Genomic DNA, 26,593 nt, shown 5'->3' with positions numbered 1-26,593 from the left:
TAACCACACACACTTCAGAGATGTCACCATTGTCAATCTGAGACACGTCATTCATTCAGGACAAAGAGATTGTGGGCGCTCCTTACAATGGAAGCACTGGATGCTTTGCAAATTTAGTCCTAAAGGCACACAGTGGCTCTCTGAGGGTGACAGCCTTCCTCTGCCCCCTGCTGCTCTCCTTTTCTCTAATATATTAGTCATTTTAAATAAGTCCTATAGAATAGCAGTGTGCCTCTTAGATGTTTGCAACATGATTTCCACAAAGAGCCCCTGGCCAAACAAGCCAGGCCTATTTTGACTTTTTCTACGTGGAACAGAACTTCCCAGAACTCAATTCAGCTAACTGAACTAGAACAGGGGGAAGCAAAATATTTCACCCAGAAAGAAAACTGTCTTCGTGGTTTGATTTTACTGGAGCTGCAAAAGACTAAAAACTCTGGTTTTCATCAGTAGCAACCTATAAAACAGGATGAAATGTAGTTAACAAGAGAGGAATCTAACAATTTCATTCCAGGGGAAAAGTCAGAGAACTCCATGGGAATCAAGGTCATTCCTACTAAACTACAACCACACACACATTTTCTAAAGGCCATTATGGTGGACTACTTTTTGCATAAGAACTTGCTTTAAAAATGTTGATTTGGAAACCATGTGTCTCACAGGGGTAATATATATAATTAGAGGACTTAAGTTGTATGCTTTTAACATTTTTAGCTGCTAACATTGATCTGATGCCATTCATTTTATTACTTTCCTCATCAGCCCACACTACAGATCAGAAATTAAATTGTTCGCAGTTGACTTATGCTAGTAAACCACGGATTTACTAAGCAAGACTTGAAAAGCAAGATGGCATATGCTGTGACTTTATCAAAATGGAATTTAGTTACAGGAATAATGGCAACGTTAGCCTTTGATCACCGTTCTTTAAAGTGGATTTTTTTTTCCTTTTTTTAAATTGAGATGGAGTTTTGCTCTTGTTCCCCAGGCTGGAGTGCAAAGGTGCGGTCTTGGCTCACTGCAACCTCCGCCTCCCGGATTCAAGTGATTCTCCTGCCTCAGCCTCCCGAGTAACTGGGATTACAGGCATGCACCACCGCACTTGGCTAATTTTGTATTTTTGGTAGAGATGGGGTTTCACCATGTTGGTCAGGCTGGTCTCGAACTCCCGACCTCAGGTGATCGGCCCCCCTCGGCTTTCCCAAAGCGCTGGGATTACAGGTGTGAGCCACCATGCCTGGCCGTTAAAGTGGAATATTTGTATGCTTTTGTTTTTAACATGTCATGTTCTGCTCCAGAAAAAGAAAACTCAAAAGATACCATTTGCTTAGGAAATATAATGCTCATAGAAACCTAGCTCTTATCACAGCAGTCCAGGATAATGAAAAAAATTAAAGGCCAGGTGTGGTGATTCATACCTGTAATCCCAGCACTCTGGGAGGCCGAGGTGGGCAGATCACCTGAGCTCAGGAGTTCAAGACCAGCCTGGGCAACATAGTGAAACCCCCGTCTCTACCAAAATTACAAAATTAGCCAGGCATGGTGGTGGTGCATGCCTGTAATCCCAGCTGCTCAAGAGGCTGAGGTGGGAAGATCGCTTGATCCCACGAGGTGGAGGTTGCAGTGAGCAGAGATCATACCACTGCACTCCAGCCTGGGATACAGAGCGAGACCCTGTCTCAAAATAAAATAAAATAAAATAAAAAAATAAAGTTCACACTGCTCAGACTCTTTGGCAGGTTCATGATCCAGGGAAATATCTGCACCTAAAAATTTTCAGAATAATGTGAGAATATGTGGGTTTTCTAATTGAAGAAAAATTGAGAAAGTAGAAAGCATATTAAGTTAAAATTTTACTTTATAATATAAAACAGACACAGAGAAGTGACTACTACCTTTTAAATAGAAGACATTGCCTCTAATAACTCTAATGATTTTCCTTCTAGATATGTCAAAGAGAAGTAATCTTCCAAAAACAAACAATTAAAACAGAGACTTTGGGCCGGGCGCGTTGGCTCATGCCTGTAATCCCAGCACTTTGGGAGACCGAGGCGGGCGGATCATGAGGTCAGGAGATCGAGACCATCCTGGATAACATGGTGAAACCCCGTCTCTATTAAAAATACAAAAAATTAGCCGGGCGTGAGGGCGGGCGCCTGTGGTCCCAGCTGCGCGGTGGCGGGCGCCTGGGTCCCAGCTACTCGGGAGGCTGAGGCAGGAGAATGGAACGAACCCGGGAGGCGGAGCGTGCAGTGAGCCGAGGTCATGCCACTGCACTCCAGCCTGGGTGACAGGCGAGACTCCGTCTCAAAACAAACAAACAAACAAACAAACAAACAAAACAGAGACTTTGACCTGTTACTGAAACCAAACACTGTCCACTAGCAAACATGGTGTTTTTCCTCCCCGAAGGTAGGAGGCTGTAAGAGATTATTAGGGGCAATGTCAGGGAATTTAAAGTAAACTACTTTGGAAAGAAGAGGCTGTTAACTTTTGGTCAACGTCACACAGAAAGAGACTATGACCTCTTATTTTCTCCCAATGTCTCCTATATTCACTCTTGTGAGAGAATGAAATATTCCTATTAGGCATTTCACAACATCGAAAGCAGGAGTGTCCAATTTTTTGCCTTCTCTGGGCCACATTGGAAGAAGAATTGTCTTGGGCCACACATAAAATACACTAACACTAATGTTAGCTGGTGATACGGTTAGGTTTTGTGTCCCCACTGAAATCTCATCTTGAGTTGTAGTTCCCATAATCCCCAGATGTCATGGTGGGGACCTGGTTCACAGGAGGTAATGGAATCATGGAGGCAGTTTCCACCATGCTGTTCTCACGATAGTGAGTGAGTTTCTCATGAGATCTGATAGTTTTATAAGGGGCTTTTCCCCTCTTCACTCCTTACTTCTCCTTCCTGATGCCACGAAGAAGGACATGTTTGCTTCCCCTTCTGCCATGATTGTAAATTTCCCGAGGCCTCCCAAGCCCTGCAGAACTGTGAGTCAATTAAACCTCTTTCCTTTAATAAGTTACCCAGTCTTGGGTATGTTCTTATAGCAGCGTGAGAACGAACTAATACAGCTGATTAGCTACAAAAAATTGTAAAAATGTTTTTAAAAAGCTTATGAATTTTGTTGGGCTGTATTTGAAGCCGTCCTGGGCCGCATGTGGCCCGTGGGTTGGACAAGCTTGGTCTTTAAAGCATAACTCTCTGAATGCTGAAGCTGAAAGAACAGCCTTTTCTGACAGCAAGCTCCAGGCGGGACTGCATGTTTCCCTGCTGCCTGAGACAGGTCATTCTCAACTCAAGTTGAGTCACCTAACGTTATAACCTGAAAGAGCATCTTTGCTGACTCAGGGATGCACTACTGGGTGGCAGGTGGGTCCACACTCCTGTGCCTGCCGGCTTTATTGACTTTCATGGGCATTTGTCTGGGCCTTGGGGGACGGCTGTCACTTATTTTTGCAGATAATGCAGCCATCTCTTTTTGTCACCAGCTACTCTCACCTGTTCAGTTGTAGCTTTGGCTGTGCACGGGCTGAGAAGGCAGATTATCAAGGTGGCTTAAACGTGATGGAGTAACACAGGAGAGAGGCTGCCAGTCAAGGGTGAGCCCTCACCCTGGATTAGGTTTGTGGAATGTATCACCCCGACACAGAGGCAGCAATGTCAGCTCACATCTGTTTCCAGACTGCGCAGCTCAGATGTTTCGCTGAAGGATGGATTTCACCGAAGCTGCAGCAACTAAACCTCACTGTGTGGCATCCACGGGGCTGTGATACTCACAGGCTTACAGGGCTTCAGCTTCCATCCCCAGCTCCTGCGTGGACCCCAGAGAGCACCCACTACACCCTAATCTACCTGGATCCACTGCACCCTAATCACTGGCCTACTGGATTCGTTCCCAGAGTCATTTAGCAGAGAATCCCAAATAACATCCGGCTGGGACCGGGCTTCATCTGAACATTAGGCTACACCCTCCCTTTTGTTTCCCTCCACTCACCATCAGGTCCAGGTGGTCCAGGGAGCCCGGGGGGTCCTGGAGGCCCTCGCTTTCCATCAGGTCCAGGTGGGCCCCCGTAGAGCGCAGGGATGCCGGGGTCTCCGATGAAGCCCTTGGGTCCCATCTCACCCGGCAGGCCTCTCCTCTGATCTGAAACCAAACAGCATTCACCTGCAGCGTGAGTCTCCCATACCACACCGCTGCCTTTGTGTTCGTGTCCAGAGGGGCCCACTGGGGCACTAGCGGGCTTCATGGCCCCGTCAATAACTCCGATGGGTAGAAGCCATTGGTATAGTTCATTATCCTTTTTCAACATTAAAAACACCCCTCTCCTTGCCCCTCAAATAATGGCTTGATAGTTGTGATCAACACTGGGCAACAACACCTGATGATTCTCCGTTCTCTTCCCAACCCACAGGTGGAAGCATGCCAGTTACCCATCGTGGCACCATCTAACCTAGTTGGGGAGTTACTGTCATATGTGCGAGGGTTCTGTGAAGGTGTCCAAAGCATGTGTGCGGGGCTCCTTAGAGCTGCTAAGACTAGTCAGTGGGGAAAAGTAACAACGACATAGCTACGTCGTCAACGAAGTCTCCCTTGTGTGTGCTAGGACCTGAGTGCAGGTGCTTTGGGTCTCCGGTGTTGATATTATGAAGCCACATTACCTCCATCTCCGATGGAGAGGCCAGGGGGACCTGGGAGGCCCGGGTCTCCTGGCTCACCCTGGCTTCCTGGCTCCCCTTGGGCCCCTGGGAATCCCGGGTCACCTCTGGCACCTGGAAGGGAAACAAGTCCCACAGTAAGAACAAGACCGTGGTCTACGGATCGCAGCTGGCGTTCACTTTTTCATTGACTACATATTTACCAAATGCTCCATATGCTGTATGCGGCCTGATGAGGAGTTAAGATGATTAATACATGGGGTGGTCTCTCTTTTTAAGGGGCTCATTCTCCAGCAGGGGAACAGGATTAGTGAAAACCGGGTGAGGAAGTAGGTGAGTCCAAAGCTCGAATAAAGAAGGAACTAATGTGGTTGCCAATTCTGCTGGTGGCCTGGGAGCGAGGAGGCCTCACTTCCCTGCACCCCACTCTGCCCCTCAGCCCCAGCTTTAACCCTATTAGGCTCTTCTCATCCCTGTCTGCTGGATGCATAACAAAATTTGGCTTTTAAAAACTTTCACCCCTGAACAAACAAAGACAAAGTGGCATGGCTATGTTCCTTTGCTGTGTAAATAGCAACGCTTTACTGTAGAACACACTTTTTTCTAGACTATAATTGGGAAAGATGAGAAGAATGAGAAGAAAATAGGACTTTTTATCATGTAGGCATTAGGAATTTCTAGGAAAGCTTTCACTCTGCATGTCGTCTTACGAAGTTCCTTAAAATAAGGAGAGGGCTTTGCTGGGCGTCACACTGAAGTCCCACGTGCAAGGGACAGAAGGCCTGACTTCCGTGTATGGCGTCTCCTGCTCGGGCAGCTTCGTGCCGAGTGTGCAGGGGGCTGCGCTCCGCAGCCAGAGGCCCTGGGCCTGAACCTGGCTCCTCCACTTAAAGGCAACCCTGGGCAAGGAACTCAACGCCCTGCGCTTCCATCTCTCCCTCAGTAAAAGCAGCCAAGTCCATCTCCACCTCACAGGGTCACCCAGAGGGGTAAACACACTGAAAAGTACAACTAGGACAACTTGGAGCATCGCCTGGCACACAGTGTGACCTACACTCCTGTTAGCCATTGTTGATTCCATAAAAAGACACAAAATTGAAAGCCACAGACCTTCTCACTTGTTTGGAAGAATAGCAAGATTACTTTTATTTCTAGGTACCTTGGAATCATTTCTTTTAATACAAACCCCTCTATCCTTTTTGTCTTTTGACAAGTTCATGCAATGTTACCTTGAAAAAGATACATTTACTGCCTCTTTTCCCTGAGGGAATCTGCTGGTTAGTCAACCTTTGACTTTAAGAAACCCTGGAATGCAAGTCAGTCACATTCCAGCTCACCAATAACTCGGGAATGTTGTCCGGTAGAAAAGGCGGCAGGCAACCTCCGCATTTCTGAATCCGCTTGTGGGAAAAAGTGAATTTTGAAAGCACCCGCCTTTGCAGTGTGAATTCCAGGAATATAGTACGGTGAGAAGGGAGGGGTTGGTGAGAGTTGGGTTCTCAGTCAGCAACATTTTTAAAAAATGCAAAAGAAACATCGCCAGCATTAACTTAAAAATTATGTTCTTAAAATCTCAAACAGCATATTTCCTTTTTACCAAAATTATTAATAATGAGTCAAGTCAAAGTGGGCTCATGGCTCTTTTTAGTGGGTCTCAGGTTTGGTAGCCAGGTGTGCGCCATGGATGAGGCAGGAAATGCCAGCTTCGTAGTTACGGGCATCATGGAAGCTGAGCATGGATTTCAAAATATCCCCATTCACGGCTCCACGCCTCCCCAGACAGACATCTCAGGGGCTCCTGGAGGCACTGCCCATGGCCCTGTTCTGTCCTGCGTTTTGATCAGCATTGGATGAAGACATGCAAAGCCATTATTAAACTGACAGAGGGCTCGCTTCGAAGCAGGGAGGTGAATTCTTGACACCTAGGCTTAGAGGACAGGGAGACCAGGTGACCTGCTGAGTTCAAGAGGTAAACACCAGAGCGTCTGTATTTAAAAAACCCTACCCTTCACAATGCCTGTCTGATATGTTTCTGCACGTCGTCACTCAGTCAGGCGTTTGCTGAGCTCCAACTCTGTGCCTGTCCTGTTCCAGGCATTGGGAATACAGCAGTGAACAAGATGGGCTGAAATGTCTGTCCTCACAGAGCTGACTATAACATGGGCCAATGATCCGCAAAGATATATACGCACGATTATCAGGAGGAGGTTCTCGAAACATTTTTTTTTTAACCTAGAAGGATGCGCATTCTACAAGGTTCAGAGCCAAGTGCTCTAGTTGCAGGACTAGGATCAGATTTCCATATGATCTCGCCAATTTGGAAGCCGAGCCTTAATAACAAGATGAGCATTAGTGACGACATGCGCAAAGTCCTTCGTTTACACTCCAAGGTCAACTGTGACAGTGGGGAGTGGTTGTTATGTGTAAATATCTGGGAATTTAGTTGCCTTGAAGCCTGAAAGCATGTGACTGTTCACTGGTTATGAGTTATGATCAATTCCAGGTGTCGGGCTGGCAAGCAGAGGGCTTAAGAACCTTGGTGCATTTGGAGAAAAAATCCGAAGGCGGCTGGGGCTGCTGCCCTGGATATCTTCAGCGATAGTCCAGACGGCAGAACTAGAACTCTACAAGTTAAGCAGAAGTGAAAGAATTCCCCAACGGAGGGGATTTCTCACGTGTAGGTGGTGAGGACTGTCTCAGGCACAGGCAACATGAAGGTCTCCCTGTGACACATTTAAGCATGAGGGAAATTGTACATGAAGTTATGTTCTAAATTTCGTGGTTTATTTTTTATTTTTTTTATTATTATTATACTTTAAGTTTTAGGGTTGCTTAGAATATCTGTCTTGAAAGTTCATAGCTCTGTGTCCCTAACAGGAGAGAATGTGTATGCGATGCTGAACTATGCAGGTGAAATTGTTCACACACCTTTTGCTAGGGAAGGGTGAGGGGAGTAGGCAGGTAGTCCAGGGGGCCCTGGGTCTCCGGCTTCTCCCTAGAGAAAGAAAAGAGAAAAACAGGATGTGAGAATAGCCTTTTGGAGTTTTTGACAGTACACATATTTCCAAAGAAGAAACCCGAGCGTGGACCGTCAGGCTGGCAGAGCAGCTATTTCAACCAGTGGAACCACAGACAGTGCCTGGGGCAGCATCCCCATGCTAGGGTGGCAGAGCCTGGCATCCCAGCCACCAGCCACAGGTGCCCAAAGAGAACAAGACAGGCAGGGGCTCATCTCATTTTGAAATCCTTGTCGAATGCCAGGAGACTGTGCTTTCTGTAGTTCAGACTATTACATTTTGGGTAGTGATAGCCGAGCCGCCTGGCGAGGGTGGGCTGGGAGATGATGCGGCCGCAGGACCCCCGTGGAGCGCCATCTGTGTCGTAAGGCAGCATTTGTCATAAGGCAGCATCCCGCGCACCACCTTCACCTCTTTGAGCCTCACCCGGCTCAGAAGTCCTCTCCAGATGTGCCCCCACCCAGGTTCCCCACGGGTGCGTTCCCCTCTCAGCTAGACCAGCAGCACCCACCTGGTCTTCCACCTAATGGTCTCCCCTCCCTGCAAGCCCAGGAATTACTCACACAAGCCACATCCTCCCTTGGAAACCAGGGGCACCGCACCCTCTTGTTACTACAAGGCCTGCCTTCCCCAGGGCTGCTGGCTTCCTCTGTGCCTGAGCGCACCCCTACGTGGCCCTGAGTGGCAGGTGGCACCCTTCTCCCTGGCAGGGAGCACACGTGGCTCGTAGGTCACCATCCACCTCGTCTGTCCAGTGTCAGAGGCCGTGTATTTGGGGATCTTGTACTTTTTAGGGCAGGGGATGCCTCCACAGGACACCATCAAGAGGGGAGTAAGGCCAGCCAGGGTGGGCGAGACACCATAAGTGGCAAAGACATGAGAAACGGGCTCACCTTGGGTCCCCGGGGTCCATCAGGCCCTTGATAGCCATCCAGGCCTCGGCTTCCCTGCAAGAAAGATATTTGCTTTTAATTTTTGTCTCTGATGTATAACTCCAAAAAGGGACTGCAATGGCATTATTATATCTCACAAAATGAACAACAGTTTATTAAAGTCATGTATTAACCCAGTCTGTGCTCAATTTTCCCTGACTTGGGTCTCAAAAATGTCTTTTTAAGGTTGCTTTGCTAGAACCAGGAGCCAAAAAAGTCCAAATATAACACTTGGATGCTATGCCTCTGAATTCTCACTTAATTCACAATAGTCCCTTCTTCCTTTCTATGTTTTTAGTATCATTTTGTGGTTGTTGAAGACACTGGGTCATCTGTGCTGCAGATGTTCTTTGTGGTGGGCTGCAGTCAGTCTCACCCCCGTGGTGTTGTACAATCTGTTCTTCTAACCCCACGTTTCCTCCACGTGAGTCATTAGGGCTGGAGGCTGCCCTAGGTGCAGGTTCCCCTTTTCAGCAGGGATCATTTGCGGAGGATGCTGGGCACCTCTTCTCCTACAGAAGATATGAGTGTCGGGTTGCTTTTATGATTGATCGTGGGGTCAGGTGTTGACAACCTGAACCAACTGTTGAAACTCTCTCCCAGGGTAGGTTTTGAAAATCTTCATTTAGTACCAAAATAGACGCATTAAGGTTTCTTAAGTTAGAGTTTTTTCTCTTCATTAAAAAAAATCTCTGCTGGGTATGGTGGCTCATGCCTGTAATCCCAGCACTTCGGGAAGCCAAGGTGGGAGGATCACTTGAGCCCAGAAGTCTGAGACCAGCTTGGGAAACATAGTGAAACCCTGCCTCTACAAAAAATACATAATGTAACCGGGCATGGTGGCAGGCACCTGCAGTCCCAGCTACTTGGGAGGCTGAGGTGGGAGGATCGCTTGAACCCAGGAGTTTGAGGTTGCAGTGAGCTGTGATGGTACCACCATACTCCAGCCTGGGCAACACAGCAAGACCCTGTTTCAAAAATAGAAAACAACTATAACACTAAGTTTTGTTTTCTCATTCCCTTGAACATTTTTTGAAAGAAAAAGTTTATCATTGAGTCATATCATGAGGTATCTGGACAGAAGAGTAAAGCTCTCTAAAAATCTAGCAATGTATTCCCTCTTTTAAAGAACATGCATGGTTCAGCTCTCAAAATTCAGAATGCCAGATGCCACAGGTATAAGAAAGGTCCATTCTCTGATTACTTTCGAGGTTATCTTGACACCCAGGAGCAGGTGTGCTGAAAGTCATGTTGTTTAGACTGAATTGAGACGGGCTTCACTTTGTGTGTGTTGTTGTGGTCCTGTGGTTTGGACCCGGACTTTCTCTCACGCTAGGTGGAGCTGAAGACTCAAAAGTAAAGACAAACTTCTGTGATTTTAAAAATGAGGTCCTGTTTAGAGGCCACGTCATAAGCTAAGCTAGGAATCCTCAAGTACCTGGCATGACAGGAGCTGGCAGCTGGACACTCAGTGGGAGCTGTGAGCACAGCCACAGACTGGCCAGCTCAGAGGGTGCCCTGGAATTTGTCAAATCTGAGCTTCACTCTGGGCCACGAGCATCACACACCTATGCTGTGGCATCCTCAGCAAACAAAACAAGCACCCCAGACACCACGTGTTGCCATCTCTGCTGAAGGGTCCAAGACAGCATGGGCACTTTGAACCATCTGAAATGCACTGGGCATTATAGAAAACCCATTGGGGAAGGGGGACAACTTAAGAAGCACTCAGGATTCCTCTGAGGCAGCTGGAACCCCAAGAGCCAAAGCAATGAGCTAAAACTTTCCAGGGGAGTTCCCAGCGGCAGGTCAACAGGTCAACTGACTCGGGGGAGGCTGAGGGTTATGCACGACTTAAGGAGAAAATGCACCCTCAGGGTTCATCTGAGACCACTGGCAGTGAAACCCAGATAGGCGGGAACCCTAAGTCAAAATGACGATCAAAACTTTTTCCTCTCTGTTTCTCAGTGGCAAACACAACAGGGTCGGGGAGGCGCAGGGATGGCCAAGGAGGAATCACCCAGGCGCTCCCAGAGTCAGGCTGGCAACCACCCCGGGAAGGACCCAGTGGAGGCTCCGCCGGGCTCCCTGAGACCCCGCTTCCAGGCAAGGTCTGTACTCCTGCTAGCAAGCTCACCACAGAGCCCACCCTTAGGGAAAGCTGAGGTCAGGAGACTGACATGCAGATCACTATTTTAGAATGGATAACTGTGAAGGGCTTTGAAACTGCAACCTCCTTTCTCCCCGGCCCTCCCCCAAATCTAATAACTTATCACTCATTTGAATTCAGTGAGGTCATATATATGATTCATAGGAAGTTCTGATTATGCAATTTTAGAAGTACAAGGTTGATTTTATGTTTTTCAAGGGTGGAAATAACTGGAGTAAGGAAAGTCCTTGGGCAGAAGTCCTCAGGGACTAGCTGACACAAACAGATGAAAAGAATGTATGGCTAGGCTTTTTTAGGGAGATGCATGTTTCTAAAGCTTAAAAGCAGTCTGCTGTCTCTCGTGGTGTGAACTGGCCTGTTATCTTTCTGTTCTTCATTTGCCTGTTGTACCCTTTTCATTGCAGTGGCCGAGGGAGCACCTGTTAGGCTAAATAGAACGCATGTGCCTCTTGAAAGAGGCGCCTCTGCAAAGAAACCCTGCCAGCCTGCAAATGAGATGCGATTTAGTATAAAAGACTAAAGACAGTGAGAGTTCCATAAAAGAACTCAATCTGAGGTCATGTCTGCCACTTCAAGCTTTGCAGAGGAAACCTACACACAGCCACAGGGAACACTGAGGCTGCATCTGGTGAGTCCAAGTCATCGACACTGCAGCCTGTGCAAATGCAACATCCCTGAAGTCCTGGACAGTCCTCATAGAGGACAATGGTCCTATTGAGGGGGGACTTCCCACAACACGACGCGTGTTGGTGTGGCATGTATTCCTCAAAGGAGACTAGGTCTCAACGAACACTTTTTAAAATAACTCTGTGGAGTTATTTCAAAATTATAAAATAACTCTGTGGAGTTATTTCAAAATTATAAAATAACACTGTGGACAGCATTTGCTCAGTTACTAAAGATATGTTTCCCCTAGAAAGAGGAGACGAAACCATCTCTAATTTATCAGAAAATTGAATATAACCAAATTCATAAATGCTACGTCTCCATTCCTTTTTAGAAAAGGCTGGAACTAATAGAAGTTCTGACAATCTCAGTGGGGATGACAGGCAACCAATTCTGTGTTTATGTAGAGGAGGGCAAGTTCCTACCCAGGATATCTTTTCTTTTCTGGTTCCTCCCATTTTGATGCACTGTTTATGTCACCGAGCAGTTGCTCCTTGGAGGGGCTTTTGGTGTCTAGGGGGAGGTGTTGGGTGGGGAACAAATGAAAGTCATGGAGTGATGGCCACCTGGCCAGTGGGATGGCAGAGGGCGGACATAGCTGTGGTGCAGATCGGTGCTCACAAGCACGGCGGCTGCGTCATTTGTGTATGTCTGCCTATTTCCCATTTCTATAGTTGAGTAAACTGCCTCCCTGTAACCCACTTAACTGGAAATATCTGCATCTTCGCAAGTTGTTGCAACTGCAGAAAGTAAGCTGGGAAATGAAAGCCTGACGCCTCACCATCCTCACATCTGGGCCCCAGCCCTGGAGCTGCCAGGTGGCCACTGTTTACACAGCATCTTGTCTTTCATTAACTTTGGAGTTCCAGGGAGCAGCTCTGTGGAACTGCCCTTTTTTTTTTTTTTTTTTTTTTTTTTTTGAGACAGAGAGTCTCACTGTCTCTCCCAGGCTGGAGTGCAGTGGTGCGATCTTGGCTCACTGCAACCTCTGCCTCCCAGGTTCAAGCAATTCTCGTGCCTCAGCCTCCTGAGTAGCTGGAATTATAGGCATGAACCACACCCAGGTAATTTTTTTTTTTTTTGTATTTTTAGTAGAGACAGGGTTTCACCATGTTGGCCAGGTTGGTCTTGAACTCCTGACCTCTATGATCCACTCACCTTGGCCTCCCAAACTGCTGGGATTACAGGCACCTGGAAATGCACTTTTAAATACTACAAGTCCCTTGTGTTGAAGATGGAAAACTAAAGATAATTATAATTTTACCAGCACATGGTAGGAAATTAACAGCAGCACTTTAATCACATGGGGTAGGTGGAAACGGGTTACTTTTGAACGATAATGTCTGCTTTAGCCTCTGTCCCTTTACAATATTTGCTTTTCCTAAGCCATGAACTAGAATGTGGCCTCTGGGTGGGGTGCATTTGGATAGCTCTTGTTCTAGGTGTGCCGCCTTTGGGAGTACTCCGATCAGTAACTGATGTTATGAAAGGCTGGGTGTGATTACGGCAAAGCCTGGCATTGGCTCCCTGGGCTGAGTTTAGCATAAAATAACAGAAATGGGAACAGTATGATCATTGGAGGTTGCAGGAAGTCATCAAGATTGGTGTTAAGTTTGAATGGTCAAAAGCAGAATGCTGGGTCAAGACGGCCCGTGTCTAGAGCCAGTGGAGGTCAGAAAGCGAGTCTGGGAGGCAGGTCCATCTGTGGTCCTGGAACAAGCATGGCGGAACCCCCACCAGGCCTGCCGAGCTTCTGTACCAGCTAACTGAAGCCCATGGGCCTCCAGACGCCACACTACTCTCTGTGCAGCCCTGAGCAGGATTCAACGGAGTTGTGATTCTGAGGCTAGTGATTTTGATAAAACTCTATCTCTGTGCACCTACTAGGACTGAGTGATGGACATACTAGCCCATGGGCAGGCAGCCAAGCCCTGTGTACCACCGAGGTGACTGCATGTTTGCTGGAAATATGAAAACCACCTCGAGGGCGTAAGGAAATATGGCGCACCTATTGACTGCCATTCTCTGCAGCTTTAAAGAACGAGGCAGATGTGTACCTGCCGACTTGGAACATTCTCTAAGGGGCACTGGGCAGAGCAGCACAGACACATTTCTTTTGTTGCTCCGTTACATGCATGTGAAGCTACACGTCTTTGTGTGTATGTTGGCATGAGTGTGATGTGAGACCCAAGGGGCTGTCAGTGGTGGTGTCTGGGGAGCCTGCCGGGCCTGCCGTAGGAGGCGTGTGCTGTGTGCTGTGGGGTGGGACCCGCAGGCACAGTGAACAGTGAAAAGGCATCAACCACTGAACTATAACATTGTGTATGACCTAGAGTTCAGACGGTTCTAAATCTGACCTAGATTCATAATACATTTCTTTTTAAAAATTTTATCATTATTATTATTATTTTATGATGGAGTTTCACTCTTGTTGCCCAGGCTGGAGTGCAATGGCGCGATCTCGGCTCACTGTAGCCTCTGCCTCCCAGGTTCAAGTGATTCTCCTGCCTCAGCCTCCTGAGTAGCTGGGATTACAGGTACCCACACCATGCCTGGCAAATTTTGTATTTTTAGTAGAGACAGGGTTTCACCATGTTGGTCAGGCTGGCCTCATACTCCTGACCTCAGGTGATCCACCCTCCTCAGGCCTCCCAAAGTCCTGGGATTACAGGCATGAGCCACTGCACCTGGCCCATAATACATTTCTTACATAACATTTTTCTCCTAAAAAAAAGCCAAAAATCTGTCCACAGAACTCATGATAAAAATAATTGGGTTGTCATTAAACATAAATGAAGTGTCACAGTATGGGTCAATCTATAAAAAAATTTAGGTGGACCCTGGGTCACCAAGTCCAGGAGCTTCCTATGAGTGACAAGGACATGGAGGAGGGGTGTGAGGTTGGACGATATAGAAACCATGGCTGGTGGGGTCGAGTGACGGACACTTTGAAAGGGAGGAAGCAAAAGATAGTTTGCAAAAATGAGAGCCAAGGTAATGACCCGGTTCAAGTATTGTGAGGCAGGATTATCTTTGTGACTGCAAATACAAGAACCATTTTCAATGTTTTTTTCTGGAGACAATTTTCTTTCCTGAGATGCCAAGGCCTATTTATTTAACCTCTGTGGGATGTCGTGGGCCCAGAGCAGACTGCAGTTCATGCATCCAACTTACCTTCTGTCCTGGTGATCCTTTTTCACCACTCAAGCCAGGGTAACCCTGGAATGAACAAAAAACAGAAGCAAACAGCTCAGAATATGCAGTAGACATTTCCAGAGGGCTTGACTACGGCACCTGGCTGTGATCACAGCAAAATGCCGATGGACAGATTGAACAAGTCTCAGGTCCAGATTTTGAAGAATAGCAACAAATTGCCAAATTCAATACCAACTATTAATACAATTCTTTCCCCTTTACAAAGTTGTGGGGAGGTGGGGATGGGAAATAATGACTATGATAAAAAGGCTCGAAGAAAGCAGAATCCATCCTAATCTCAAAGCTGCTTCCCTGTGGAAGACGTCAGAGCCACCCCAAGACTCTCATTTCCTGAGGGAGACACATCATTTTAGCAATACTTTCATAACGTGCATCATTTCTACCACGTAAAGAAATACAGAGAAACTCACAAAGATAGTACAATGAAAAACTAAAAATGTAAAAAGGCTTGTACTCTAATGTTCTACTGTGTCTCTCTATTCTTATTTTTGGAGAATGTAAAATACGGTCTTTTGAGTGGTAGCAACTGCCAGATAGCCACCAAAATTCTGCTTTCTCTTCCTGGGCCCAGGGCTCTGACCACCCGTCCCAGCCCTCAGCTAGGTGTGGTCGTGGAGTGAGTGGGGTCAGTCCAGGCTGGGGCTCTGAAGGTGAGGTCTGTCTCCCAGGTGGCTGAATCACCGTGGACGGTGACCCCTTCCCGACCCTTACGACTAGGGACATTTTTGTTGGGCTCTTGGGACAGTCGGAAATCAATGTGTGTTTGAGATATTCTACATTTCTGGTTACTACAGACTAACTGAGCTGAACACACACAACCAGAAAGGTTTTGTGCGGTACTCGCGCCTCCTCCACGGGGAGGGCCGCGTCTGCACACCTGCTGCTGGGTGAAGACGGTGTGTCAAGATGGTTCACGGATTGTAGCCAGCGCAGCCCCCAGTGCTAGATGTTCGTGCTGGGGGGCTGCTGTGTGTGTGTGTGGGGGGGGGTGGGGAGTAATAACGGGAAATCTCTATACTTTCTGCTAAATTTTGCTGTGAATCTGAAACAGCTCTAAAAAGGAAAGCCTACTGAAAAAAACCAAACCAAACCGACAACTGCAGTTATAAAAGGCGTGGTTTACCCTCAGTCCAGGAAAGCCCATGATTCCTTCTTCTCCCTTCAAGGAAATGCCCTAGGAGAGAGCAGAGGGGGCGTAAGGAGCAACCCAGGGGCGGCCCCTCCAGCCAACAGGGCCCACGTGTCATCCTCTGCTCCAGGACTCTGTGTTCTCAGCCCCGATGGTGTCCAGACCGCCTGGCGATGCTCAACTCAGGCGCAGTGCAGGGCACGGTCCTAGGAGACCCGCCAGCCTTCCCGGGCTGTCACCCATCCAGGACTGCATGTGTCATGTCACGTGGTAAGCGACCGCGAGGGAGAGCTGGAGCTCTGAGGACAGGCAGTGACAGAGGGGACGGAGGGCAGAACCCGGTGGCGCCTGAGTGGAAGCCACGCCCCTCCGCCATCTCCATGCTCCCTTCCCAAACCTCAGAAGATGATTAGCCAGTGTTTATGATGCCAAGAGGAAGAAATTCTAGAACTGACTTCTTAAAATACAGTGTAAAAATGCATGCTAATACTGTTCTGCTATGGACAAGGGGATGAGAGACTGGCGGTGTGCGGGCCCCGAGCGCATGGTGCACCCCGTCATGCCTGGCAGAGCGCCGACAGCCCAGGAGCCACAGGGGAGGGGGCATGCTCATTACTCGACTTACTCTTATTCCTGGTTCCCCCTCACTGCCTTTTTCACCCTGTGAAGAATATGAAAAATAAGAAACGCTTATTAATTTGAGGATGGTAATGGGTAAAAATCAATCAGGGTTCATGACATGAGCTGAAAGTACTGAATCAATCCTCACACAATCATCATAAATTGATTACAACACATGACTCTTAAATTTTGCAGCTTCAAAATTCAAGAGAAAAGAGGTGTCATTTCTTCTAGATTTTCACAAGATAAATTAATTCCTGTATTCCTCTTGGTACAAGTGAAAGTCTGTCTTTCCTTCTCTCTGTTTTCCTTTATCCCCCACACCGTTCCAGGCAGATGTTTACATCCGTATGGTGGGAGAACGTGCCCAAGGAAAAGCCTTAATGAAAATACTCTTCGGAAGAAAACATTACTAGGAGGCCCTCTGAGAAAAAGATACACATGGAACATATTGAAACTTGAAGCAAAAGTGGCTGTTGAAAGCCATGTCAATATCATAGATCAAAAACATGATCTACGTTTTTCCCATTTCTCTTCGTCTAAAATGGTGAAAGAAACAGCAATTGGCGGGTCCTTTGTCCCCGTCATTTCTGAGGGTACCTTGGATTCCTGCAGGACACAACTGCCCCTGCGGGTTGGCCATTCCCAGCCCCGGATCCCACCCTGGCCTGGGTTGTAGAAAAGGTGGGAAACTTGACTCGGAAGATTGAGCACCTCCACGTGGATCAAACCTGCTCTGGGCTCCAGTCCAGAAGCTGGACAGAGGCCCTCCCTGCCGTCTCCCAGGACATTTTTGTCAACGGTCACTCATAACTCGAGCCTCAGCCACCTGGGTTGATTTCCCCCACAAGGCAGTGGTCCTGCCTGCCAAATCCGCCCCAGGATGCAGGACCCAGGACACAGGACCCAAGCCCCACCCTGCTCAAGAGTTGGGAACCAGATTCTATTTGGAAAGTTAAGATCTCCCCGTTTGGGGTTTCTATTTTAGTTCCCAGATATTCTGCGTGCCCGACATGGTACTGAGTGTTTCACAGTCGCCTGCAACCTCCTCGTCAGCTCCAGGAGGTCAGTGTCGCCATCCCCATTTGACAGGGGGAACAGGAAGCCCTAGAAAGGCTGTGGGACCTCCGAGTGGGTGGGTGGCACAGCAGCCTCCAAACGTAGAGAGAGTGGACGCGGCAATTCCTATTTCAGACTAAGAGCATGATTTCAATTAAGCAAAATGTTAATTGAATGATTCAGAAACTGTCAAAAACTGACTTTGAACCTCCAAAAAGGTGCTTCATGTCAGCAAAGAAGTAGGTTTTATTTTGCTGAACACATTTTGCTAGACAGTTCCATGATTCTGGCTTTGAATTACGGTATGACCATTAGCCTCCACCTACACTGAATGTAAGGATAGATATAAGTTTTTTTTTAAATGAATTCTCTTGTTGCTTCAGATTCATCAGAATTGAGATGATGGACTGACGACGGGATCGCACTGTGAATCTAGTAACCGTCTGGAAGAGTTGAAAACATTCTGGGAGGACCCGGTTATGTTTTCATGGGTAATGTGCCAAGTTGGTGGTGAGGCTTTTTCTACTTGGAATGTGGTTGAATACAATTGAAGAAATGTACTTTTACTCTCCTTTTTTTATTTCAACTATGAAAAGAGTCAATTTTGCTCTTTACCTTGTACTGATCTGGGTGGAAGGTGACTCCTGTGGGCGCGATGATGGGGTGGAGGGTGTCTGATGGAATCCCGTTGGGTCCCGGCTGCCCTACGTCACCCTGCATATTGTTAAGCAAAAGCAGTTGTCTTTAAATCGAAAGGAAACTACAAAACTCGAATACAAATACAACCTGGCCAAAATACTGCAGTTTTAATGTTTGCATATTACTTACCATATGTATACCTATTTACAGTATAATAACCACAAAATAGAGTAATCCTAATGTAAGTTTTTTATATCCTCCTTTCATTAGCAATCATTTAGAATTTATGCATAAAAGCCATGTAGGTTGTTTACAATTCTGGACTGCATTTGTTTCTGTGGGGTTGTTTCCTTACAATGAATTTCTATATATGGGAATTATTAGGTATGAGGGCTGAATGTCTTTATGGTTTTTGACAGGTATTACTCTACTGGTTGCCAAGATGGGCACCGAGATAAACGAAATGCTGAAGAAATGAAAGACTACTTCCCCAGCTAAAGATGTTTTTATATAATAAAAAAAATCTTAAGTAACTATAATATCCCAAGATTGCTTTAATTTGCATTTTTATCATTAGCAGAAAACACTTTTTGATGTGGTGCACAGATGGTGAAACCGATCTATCTAGAACATTACTGGACCGTTATCCTTGCATAATATTCTGGGTTTACCTCCCAGAAACTGATTGACACAAAAGAACATCATTGTCTTTTCCTTTCTTTCCACATTAAACTGTATCATACAAGTCTGAGCCCAGATATCACATAACACGGACAGCAGTAAATGGAGATGATGGGTCAGCTGCAGAAAGTGATACTCCATAGTGTACGCTGAGTGTCCACTAATAGAATATCTTAAAATACCCAAACTGTTTGTTCTCCTCCCTTGTACCTGTTGGGCCCCTGATGTTTTTTATTCATTATTTGCATAAGTCCTTTGTAGACTGTAGACTCTAACTTCATCTCCATTATATCTAACGGGACTATTCTCTTCTCCCACCAATGATTTCTTCCCAGATTTTTCTTGTTTTTATTATTTTGTTATATTTCATTGTATGGGGCTATAAATTTTTATGTGTTTGGATCTTCAATGTTTTTCTTTCTTTTTTTTCCCAGAAGCCCACTGCTTGCTAATTGTCCTTTTTTGACTTCTTCTATGGCATTAATGTAAAGAAGGAAGAGTTTCTTCTTCACACATGAGCAGGACTTGATTCAACTTACTGTGCTGTTCCATCAAAAAGCAGAAGGGAAAACAAAATAGAAATGTTCCAATCATGAGGCCAAGGGTCAGGTCTACTTTACAGTGGGCTCATGGCTTTTGTGGTGAACGCAATGGGACTGTGTTGGTGAGGTTTTGCTTGCGGGGTGTGGCGCTGCGTTAAGCCTGTCATGCACGTGATCTCACACGTTCCTCTCAAAGGCCATGAGGTCTTTGGATCTTAGCACTCTAAGGAAGGAGAAAAGCCACATGGTCCTTACGGCTGCCTTTGTGCCCTACCAGGGCTGGTCCCTGAGATCCCCTGGTCCCTGAGATGGCTCCATGTCAGCCTCTGGCTGTAGTCTCAGTCCCCTCCATCACCTCTGGGCTCCACACAGGAGAAGATGCACTCAGTGACATGTCCTCACCTCCACCTTCTGAAGATGAGCTGAGCTTATGTCTCTGTGTCAGAGTCTCGGCTAGCCTAGATGGTCTATGTTTACCGTCTTGTTGATGCAGAATTATCACTGGTATGTAGGTGACAACCTAGCACTTTGCAATGATTATTTCCCTATGCAAATGGTCTGTCTGCAGATCAACTCAAGGTAAAAGTTTTACAGCACAGAACTTAGTAATTAAAATGATTTATTTCCTGGCTGAGAAATGCTGCATGCCTCTGCTGGAATTGACCAGGCTTCCTTTACCTTTTCACCCTTAACTCCGTAGAAACCAAGTCCTCTGTTGCCCTGAAAAGATAAATAATTTCTGTAAGTTTTAAAAAGCCAATAATCAGAGAGAAATAAAATTATTTTTCTTAGAAAAAGAAACCCAAGGCCTATTTATCGGCAACTTTACTGAGCAACTATATTTGCATAATATTCTTGCTTTGCATTGTAGAAACTAATTGACAGTTTGTCATGTCAGTTGACCAAGGCCTCAGAGTGAATGAGTGGGAGCTGAGATTGGACCCCAGGTGGTGCTGGCCCTCGATCGTGAGTATATGGTCTCTGCAGACTGTAGTCTAAGAGCATGTCCCTGGGTTCTGGCCCCTGCAGATGGAAGAAGCAGCCCCATTTCACTCCCTGGACTCTGCATTTGAAGATCATGATTCGTCTTTTCTTCTGGCTCAGTCTTCTCTCATTTTGGCAAAATAATCCTCATTTCATATAAACTTTACCTATCTTTTTAATAATCTTTGGAAATTTAAAATCAATCAGAATGTAATGATTTTACGTGATTCTCTGGGCTTTATCCAAACTTTTTGTCTTCCTTTTTTACCTAAGAAGCAAAGCTAGGCCCAGTATCATAGTAAGGATTTAATAATTTCACGAACGTAGTAGCCACGTGTGGGAGGACTGACAACGCTGACCTCTAAGATTCGTGCATAGAAAAAGCAAGATGACAAATTTGTGCACATCACGGGCACTGTCCTCTTCTACTCCCAACAGCTTTGCTTCTTTCCCAGGGTTTCTGTGTGTTCCCACAGTGACAGCGGGGTCACATAAGCCCTATCTGATCTCTCTTTCTCTGCAGTCTACCGTCCGCCCCCTCCAATGTCCAGATATTTTCTGAAAATAAAAACAAAGCCTTCAATGAATTTTTGCCTTTTGCTTCTTCCCCACCTGGTGGGGAGCTGAAATCAAAGCACAGAAACGCGGCCAGGCTGGATTAGAATGCAATTTGTGTGAGTCCCCCACAGTCCCTCTCTGCCTCCTGAGCTGGTCGTCAAAGTCACCAGGAAGTGACTTGGTCAGGGGTGAGGAGGGCTGTTGATGTTTGCCGCAGCAAGGGGAGATCTGAGGCTCACGCCTGGGCTCAGGGCTTGGCTGCTGCCTCCTCAGCCCGGCCGCCTGGTCCTATTTCTGCTGCTCTTGGCCTGGGGCCCATCTCATCCTGCTCCAGGCTGCCAGGCGGTGGGGCGTCCAGCGCAAGCCCTCCAGCCAACCGGAAGCTGTGTCAGAGGGGACAGGAGCCTGGGGGCATGGGCGGTGGCAGCTGTAGTCACCAGGGGTCACAGCAATGGGCAGGCATGGCAACGTGTGGGCTTGGCACGTCCTCCATCGGGACACAGGGCAAAGGAAACGTTCCTAGATGCTTCCCGCTGGCAGCCCAGCATTTCTGAATTATGTTGCATTTTGATCAAATACTTCCCTTGTCAACTGCATTCGTTTGTCTTGGACATTTATCCAGCTTTCTCAGATAATAAGGAACCCTAGTTCTGTCCTCCGAGTTTCTAACAAACCACCTACTTTGCTGTGTTCCAATCAACTTAATAACCTTTCTGGGATGAAAACAGTATACAGCTTTGGGCTCTAGCCTAACTTGATTATCACTGAATATATCCCTAGAGGCTGACATTAGACTCCTGTAGAACCTAATTCTAGCCAGATAAGAAGAATGACATTGGCCTCCCTACAACAGATAGAGTTACATTTTGTCCATTCTCGTAAATCAATGCATGTGAATAAATGTGAACTGTCCCTAAATTGTTCTAATCTTCGTTTCAATCAAATGTTCCTCAGTGTGGTTTTCATATACCAACAGGCATGTGGTAATTAATTTGCAAACAACAAATCATTCCACCTGTTTACTTTTTTAATGTCCAGAGGCACCATGGATCTATCCTTGGAGTTTAACATTAAGTCTTAAAAACCTCCAAAACTGTTTTCATCATAATATAAACAATAAATAGTTGCCAACCAAGAAGTTTTATGGTAAAAAACAAACAAACCCACAAACACCTAAGTACCCCCTTCCCTCATCCTCACCCCCCAAAACCAACTTACTTGCTGTCCTTTTGGTCCAGGGGGTCCAGGTGGTCCCTGTACAAATACAAAGAAATGTGTAAATGGTTTTCTTTACCCCAGGACCCAGATAACATCTGGTGGAAAGCTCTGGGAAAGCCATTGACTGTATATTTAGGACACAGTGTAGGATGCATGGAGGTTTCTGATGCATTTGGCTTGGCAGAGATGACATGCTGGGGGAGAGGGACTCGGGTCAGCTCCAGTTCTCAGAATCTGCCGGCTGTCTACGGACAGCTGTTTCTGCTTTGCTTTTGTGTGTTTGGGCTTTTGACTTCACCCATGTCCTCTCTGTGTTTGTTCTGATCCCTTTGCAAGGTCCCAGGCCCTGTGACTGCAGCGACAGCTTCCCTGACTTCCTCTGGGAGTCCCCACGAGACTCCATGCAGGACTTCTTCCTGGTAGCTTGGCCAACTTTCATGGACAGAATGAATCTACAAGCTGGCACTGCAGAGCGGAAAGTCCATCTGCAGTATCATGGTGTGTCTTTCTGCAGAGCATTCAGTGTCAACACTGTGCTTAGGATTAAAGCATTTCAGATGCAGGGGAAGAGTGTTTAAGTACAAATAAGTGGATACAAAGGAGTGGATAGGGAGGGGGTTGTGGATGATTGCATGGCTCATGTGAAGAACCAAAAGCTGTCAGAGCAGCTGAGGACCTAGCAAGTACAATCTGTTGTGCCGGACTTCTCCGAGTGGTGCATTTAAAGTATGAAATCCAACCATGTGGCATGTGTGCCGTGACTAAGCCAATAACCCTATGGAGTGAAACAGCAACAGCGCCTCGTATGACCCTGATTTCAGCCACCTTGACCAGGTCTTTCACAGACGGGGCTACTTGCAAGAATGACTTTCACAGCACCGGGGAAATTTGCTTTGTAGAAACAAAATCTATTATTATTATTGTCATTTATTATAATCTGAAGAGAATTATGAGTACCCCCCAACTGTTAGTTTGACTGAGTCTCCCCAGACATATATGACTTCATTTTTTTCTCAGTATCTGTCAAGGAACTGGTGTTAGTGTCCCTTGATAGCTTGTCTCAGTCTTGAGCAATGGCTTCCTGTGAGAAGATCTCTCTCACCTGCAGCCCAAATCGCTCCTTGTGTAAGTTAAGGCCTATTTATCTGATTACTAACATATGTGGGGAATGAGCGAGTCAGGAGCTCTCGCAGTGGCCAATCCACCTTCCAGCTCATTGTGCAGTGGTGGGAGTGGCCAGAGAGCTACACAAGCCTCAGCAAGTGCCTTTTTCTGCTCTTCCCTACTTGCAATGAGCCCTCTAGGGCCATTGTGTTAAACAGTGGCCAGTATCTCACCTGCTGTAATGAGCCCAGGTGTGATATGCCTGCTAGCATGGGTGTGGCACAGGCAGACCTCCATTTCCTCCTTATGAACCTGTGGGACTTTGGTTTGCCTTGCCCAGGGATGATGGGCTGTCTGTCACTGGGTAGGTATGGGGTGGGGATGGAAGGGCACCCTGCCGGAACCAAGTCAAAATTTGACATAACTGGCAGAGAGCTGGTGACCATAATTTTAAGCCCTTATTCTTCAACCTTAACAGCAGCAAAGTGTGCAAGGAATGGTCCGTTTTGTCTTGATGTTCTCTGCTACGCCTATAAGCATCATAGTTGTTCTTAAAGCTCTCATCTGGAGTCAACCATTGAAGAAGTGGCATCTGGAAGGGATGACCGGACGATGGTCCCAGAGTGGGCACCTGTGTCCAGGTACTTACTGGTCTCCCTGGAGCTCCAACTGGACCCATCTGTCCCACATGCCCAGGGCGGCCGGGAGGTCCCTATGGATAGGCAGCGGGAGAATGTTTTTAAGAGAGGTAAACTGGTACTTGGAGTTCTGAAGCTCTTAAACTTTTGTTTGGAATATCGTCCAATAAAAATAAACTTACCTGGAAACCGACCAATCCAGGCTCTCCAGGTTCACCCTAATGGAGAAGAAATAATTTTAAGAGTGATAGCTTTTAACCATCTTTAGATTTACTTACCTTTTATTGCAGAGTTGGAAATAAGCATATCAAACAGATCAGCCCTATCAGGACCTAGTAATGTTAATTTACTAATATTAATTTTTACTAATATTGTTATTTAGTCAGAATATATTTTAGTAATATTAATATTTACTAATATTAACTACAAGTACTAATTTGGCTTGGAGTATTGTGAATATGGGAAAGAGATAAACACACAATTAAAAATAAGATTGAAAACATCCTGATCGGAAGTAAGATGACTTTTAGATTATGCCGCCATTCTAGGCATGCCTTCAGTACATTCATTCTTACATGCAAAGTTCACTTGGCAATTAACTTTGTTAGTTGAGAATTTACACTGGGTCCCTTCATTACCCCTCCCATCTCTTGCAAACGTACCCGATATCTGTCGCGCTCCTCTTTAGGCAGTGCATAAGGCTCACCTTTCTGCCCTTTTGGTCCTTGGGGCCCCTAATTAGCAGATATATTGTAAAAAGAAAAAACAACAAAAAGAGTCCATTAACATTCGGTGCAGCTATGGTAATGTGGATGACTGAACATTGACTTTTGTGGGCAAGGTCTAATTGTTCTTATGGCTGATGGGGGTTATTCTGAACACCAACCCTATATTCAGCAACAAGGGTAAGACCTTTAATTTCCTATTGACCCAATCATATCTTTCCTAGAGTTAAAACAGAAATACTTTAGGATTTAAATTATTTTCAAAACCCAAATGAATGCTCTGTCAACCAACCCTCTAGTATGCCAATGTTATTTTTATTTCTGATAATACTATTACGTGCTTTCTTTGGCATTAGTGTACTGAACATATTAACACAAGCACCCATTTGCAGAATAGATACTGGGTCATTCTTTAAAATTGGAATTGTGTCAAATATAAACAGTAGGCATATACATAATACATATGTGCATGTGTAAATATCTTTCAACATCTACTATAAGAATCACTTAAAGTAATAGATATGTTTCTTGATAATGAAATTGATGATATATAGAGTAGAAGATGACGTAGTTTATTGAAAAATTGAACCACATAAAACAGAAACAGCCGAGGAAAGGTGAACTAGCAGGTGGAGGTGGAACTGAGTAGGAGAACTCCATTTGCTTCAGGTGAAAACGTGATGAAGGTGATTAATGACTGTTCTTCCCTCCCCACTTTAAAGTTTTTGTTTTTAAATAAAAAGTCTCACCAAACAAAATTTTAGTCTAAACCTGAATTTGCAAGATTTCCTTGGAAATAAGGTAGCAACGTACTACTGAAGACACATTTCAGGATGTTTTACCAAGACCTTAAAAAATAAATGAGGCCACAAAACAGATGATTATATAAAAGTTCCTCCATTAAAAAACAAACTCCTGCATCGTATCTGCTGGAGAATAACTGCACTCCCACGTCACAAAGTATTTCATAATCTGATAAAGATGGTGATGGACAGAATTTTGTCAAGGTTTCAGCTTTTTAATTTGCGTTTACGATTCCACTATTACGCATGAGAATTTGGGAGAAAATGAAGTGACACTTGGGAGACTGAGAGTGAACAACATCAACCACAACAATGATTTTCTATCTAACATTTAAAGAATACGAAAAATGAAGTTACTTGAATCCAGAAACGTCATGTCTTGGGCGTCAACATACAGTTATGCTTCCGTTCTGGCCACAGTGAGCGGGAGGCTCCCCCAGGTTATAAAGGCAGGGCTTAGCAGGGGTCTGCCCGTCCCTGGAGCACAGGCGCTGTGGGGATACTCACGGGAGGCCCGGTGAACCCCTCAGAGCCGGGGGGCCCCTGTGGACCTGAGTCTCCCTGGGTTCCGTTGCAGCCATCGTAGCCCGGCCTTCCCCTGGGCCCACCTTGCCCCGGGTGTCCCTGGGAAAGAGAGCAGTGAGAGAATCAGCCAACCAGCAGGCTTCTAGTTGTCATGTAACTGTGAGATAAAACAGTCTTATATTCTCATAAGCCATGTTCCCGGCATGAATCCAAGGAAAAGACACCTCAAAAGTGAACAAATGAATGAATGAAAGATTAAATAAGTGAAGGCATAAGGTATCGTTCTAAGCAGGGAAAAGATTTCGAAGCAAAGTTCTGCTTCACCTGGGCTTGGGTAAGAAGTACACTGTCGGGGTTTCTTCTGTCTTACTAGTTGAGTGACTGTCTATCAGCAGGGACAAGTAAAATTACATTTCAAAAATTCTAGGAAAGATTTTAGAAGCAGCTACCTCCTTCTCAGGGATAACAGGAAGGTCCTTATCCCTGTAGAAAACAAGTAAAGGTACATTTTAAAAATTCTAGGAAAGATTTTAGAAGCAGCTACCTCCTTCTCAGGGAAAACAGGGAGGTCCTTATCAGTTGTACCCAACTGCATTTTAGATAGTGAGTTTCACAGATCCACATCCTAAACAGAGAAGACACACCCGCAACGTGATTTTATCAATGGCCTTGTCATGTTTAGAAGAGCTGATTGCCT

General features: G+C 46.0%; 1 protein-coding gene across 1 annotated transcript in view, besides 5 other annotated features; it reads right to left on the bottom strand.

Moving 5' to 3' along the window:
• COL4A2 (collagen type IV alpha 2 chain) overlaps positions 1-26,593 on the bottom strand; it is a 205,926-nt gene that overhangs the window by 58,748 nt on the left and 120,585 nt on the right. The window contains exons 7-20 of the mRNA NM_001846.4: positions 25,879-25,995; positions 24,506-24,577; positions 24,026-24,061; positions 23,855-23,917; positions 22,102-22,137; positions 20,020-20,061; positions 18,095-18,193; positions 16,425-16,460; positions 15,794-15,844; positions 14,629-14,673; positions 8,580-8,633; positions 7,598-7,664; positions 4,673-4,783; positions 4,008-4,157 (exon numbers count right to left, since the gene is read on the bottom strand). Coding sequence (NP_001837.2) covers positions 4,008-4,157; positions 4,673-4,783; positions 7,598-7,664; positions 8,580-8,633; positions 14,629-14,673; positions 15,794-15,844; positions 16,425-16,460; positions 18,095-18,193; positions 20,020-20,061; positions 22,102-22,137; positions 23,855-23,917; positions 24,026-24,061; positions 24,506-24,577; positions 25,879-25,995 — 979 coding nt within the window. The remainder of the gene's footprint in view (positions 1-4,007; positions 4,158-4,672; positions 4,784-7,597; positions 7,665-8,579; positions 8,634-14,628; positions 14,674-15,793; positions 15,845-16,424; positions 16,461-18,094; positions 18,194-20,019; positions 20,062-22,101; positions 22,138-23,854; positions 23,918-24,025; positions 24,062-24,505; positions 24,578-25,878; positions 25,996-26,593) is intronic.
• Positions 5,308-6,507: an enhancer, noted in NCBI's record as "BRD4-independent group 4 enhancer chr13:111100302-111101501 (GRCh37/hg19 assembly coordinates)". NCBI's record gives its function as "activates an origin of replication core promoter dependent on BRD2, P300/CBP, MED14 and CDK7 cofactors, and independent of BRD4, by STARR-seq in HCT116 cells {active_cell/tissue: HCT116}" and the evidence as "EXISTENCE:reporter gene assay evidence [ECO:0000049][PMID:35650434]".
• Positions 7,494-7,994: an enhancer, noted in NCBI's record as "H3K4me1 hESC enhancer chr13:111098815-111099315 (GRCh37/hg19 assembly coordinates)". NCBI's record gives its function as "activates a minimal SCP1, AML or CMV promoter by ChIP-STARR-seq in naive H9 embryonic stem cells {active_cell/tissue: H9 hESC(naive)}" and the evidence as "EXISTENCE:reporter gene assay evidence [ECO:0000049][PMID:30033119]".
• Positions 7,995-8,495: an enhancer, noted in NCBI's record as "H3K4me1 hESC enhancer chr13:111098314-111098814 (GRCh37/hg19 assembly coordinates)". NCBI's record gives its function as "activates a minimal SCP1, AML or CMV promoter by ChIP-STARR-seq in naive H9 embryonic stem cells {active_cell/tissue: H9 hESC(naive)}" and the evidence as "EXISTENCE:reporter gene assay evidence [ECO:0000049][PMID:30033119]".
• Positions 9,660-9,849: an enhancer, noted in NCBI's record as "active region_7993". NCBI's record gives its function as "activates an Ori minimal core promoter by ATAC-STARR-seq in GM12878 lymphoblastoid cells {active_cell/tissue: GM12878}" and the evidence as "EXISTENCE:reporter gene assay evidence [ECO:0000049][PMID:35858748]".
• Positions 9,920-9,969: an enhancer, noted in NCBI's record as "active region_7992". NCBI's record gives its function as "activates an Ori minimal core promoter by ATAC-STARR-seq in GM12878 lymphoblastoid cells {active_cell/tissue: GM12878}" and the evidence as "EXISTENCE:reporter gene assay evidence [ECO:0000049][PMID:35858748]".

This window comes from Homo sapiens, chromosome 13 (genome assembly GCF_000001405.40).
Source record: "Homo sapiens chromosome 13, GRCh38.p14 Primary Assembly".
Lineage (NCBI taxonomy): Eukaryota > Metazoa > Chordata > Mammalia > Primates > Hominidae > Homo > Homo sapiens.
This window is presented reverse-complemented; position numbering and strand designations above follow the sequence as displayed.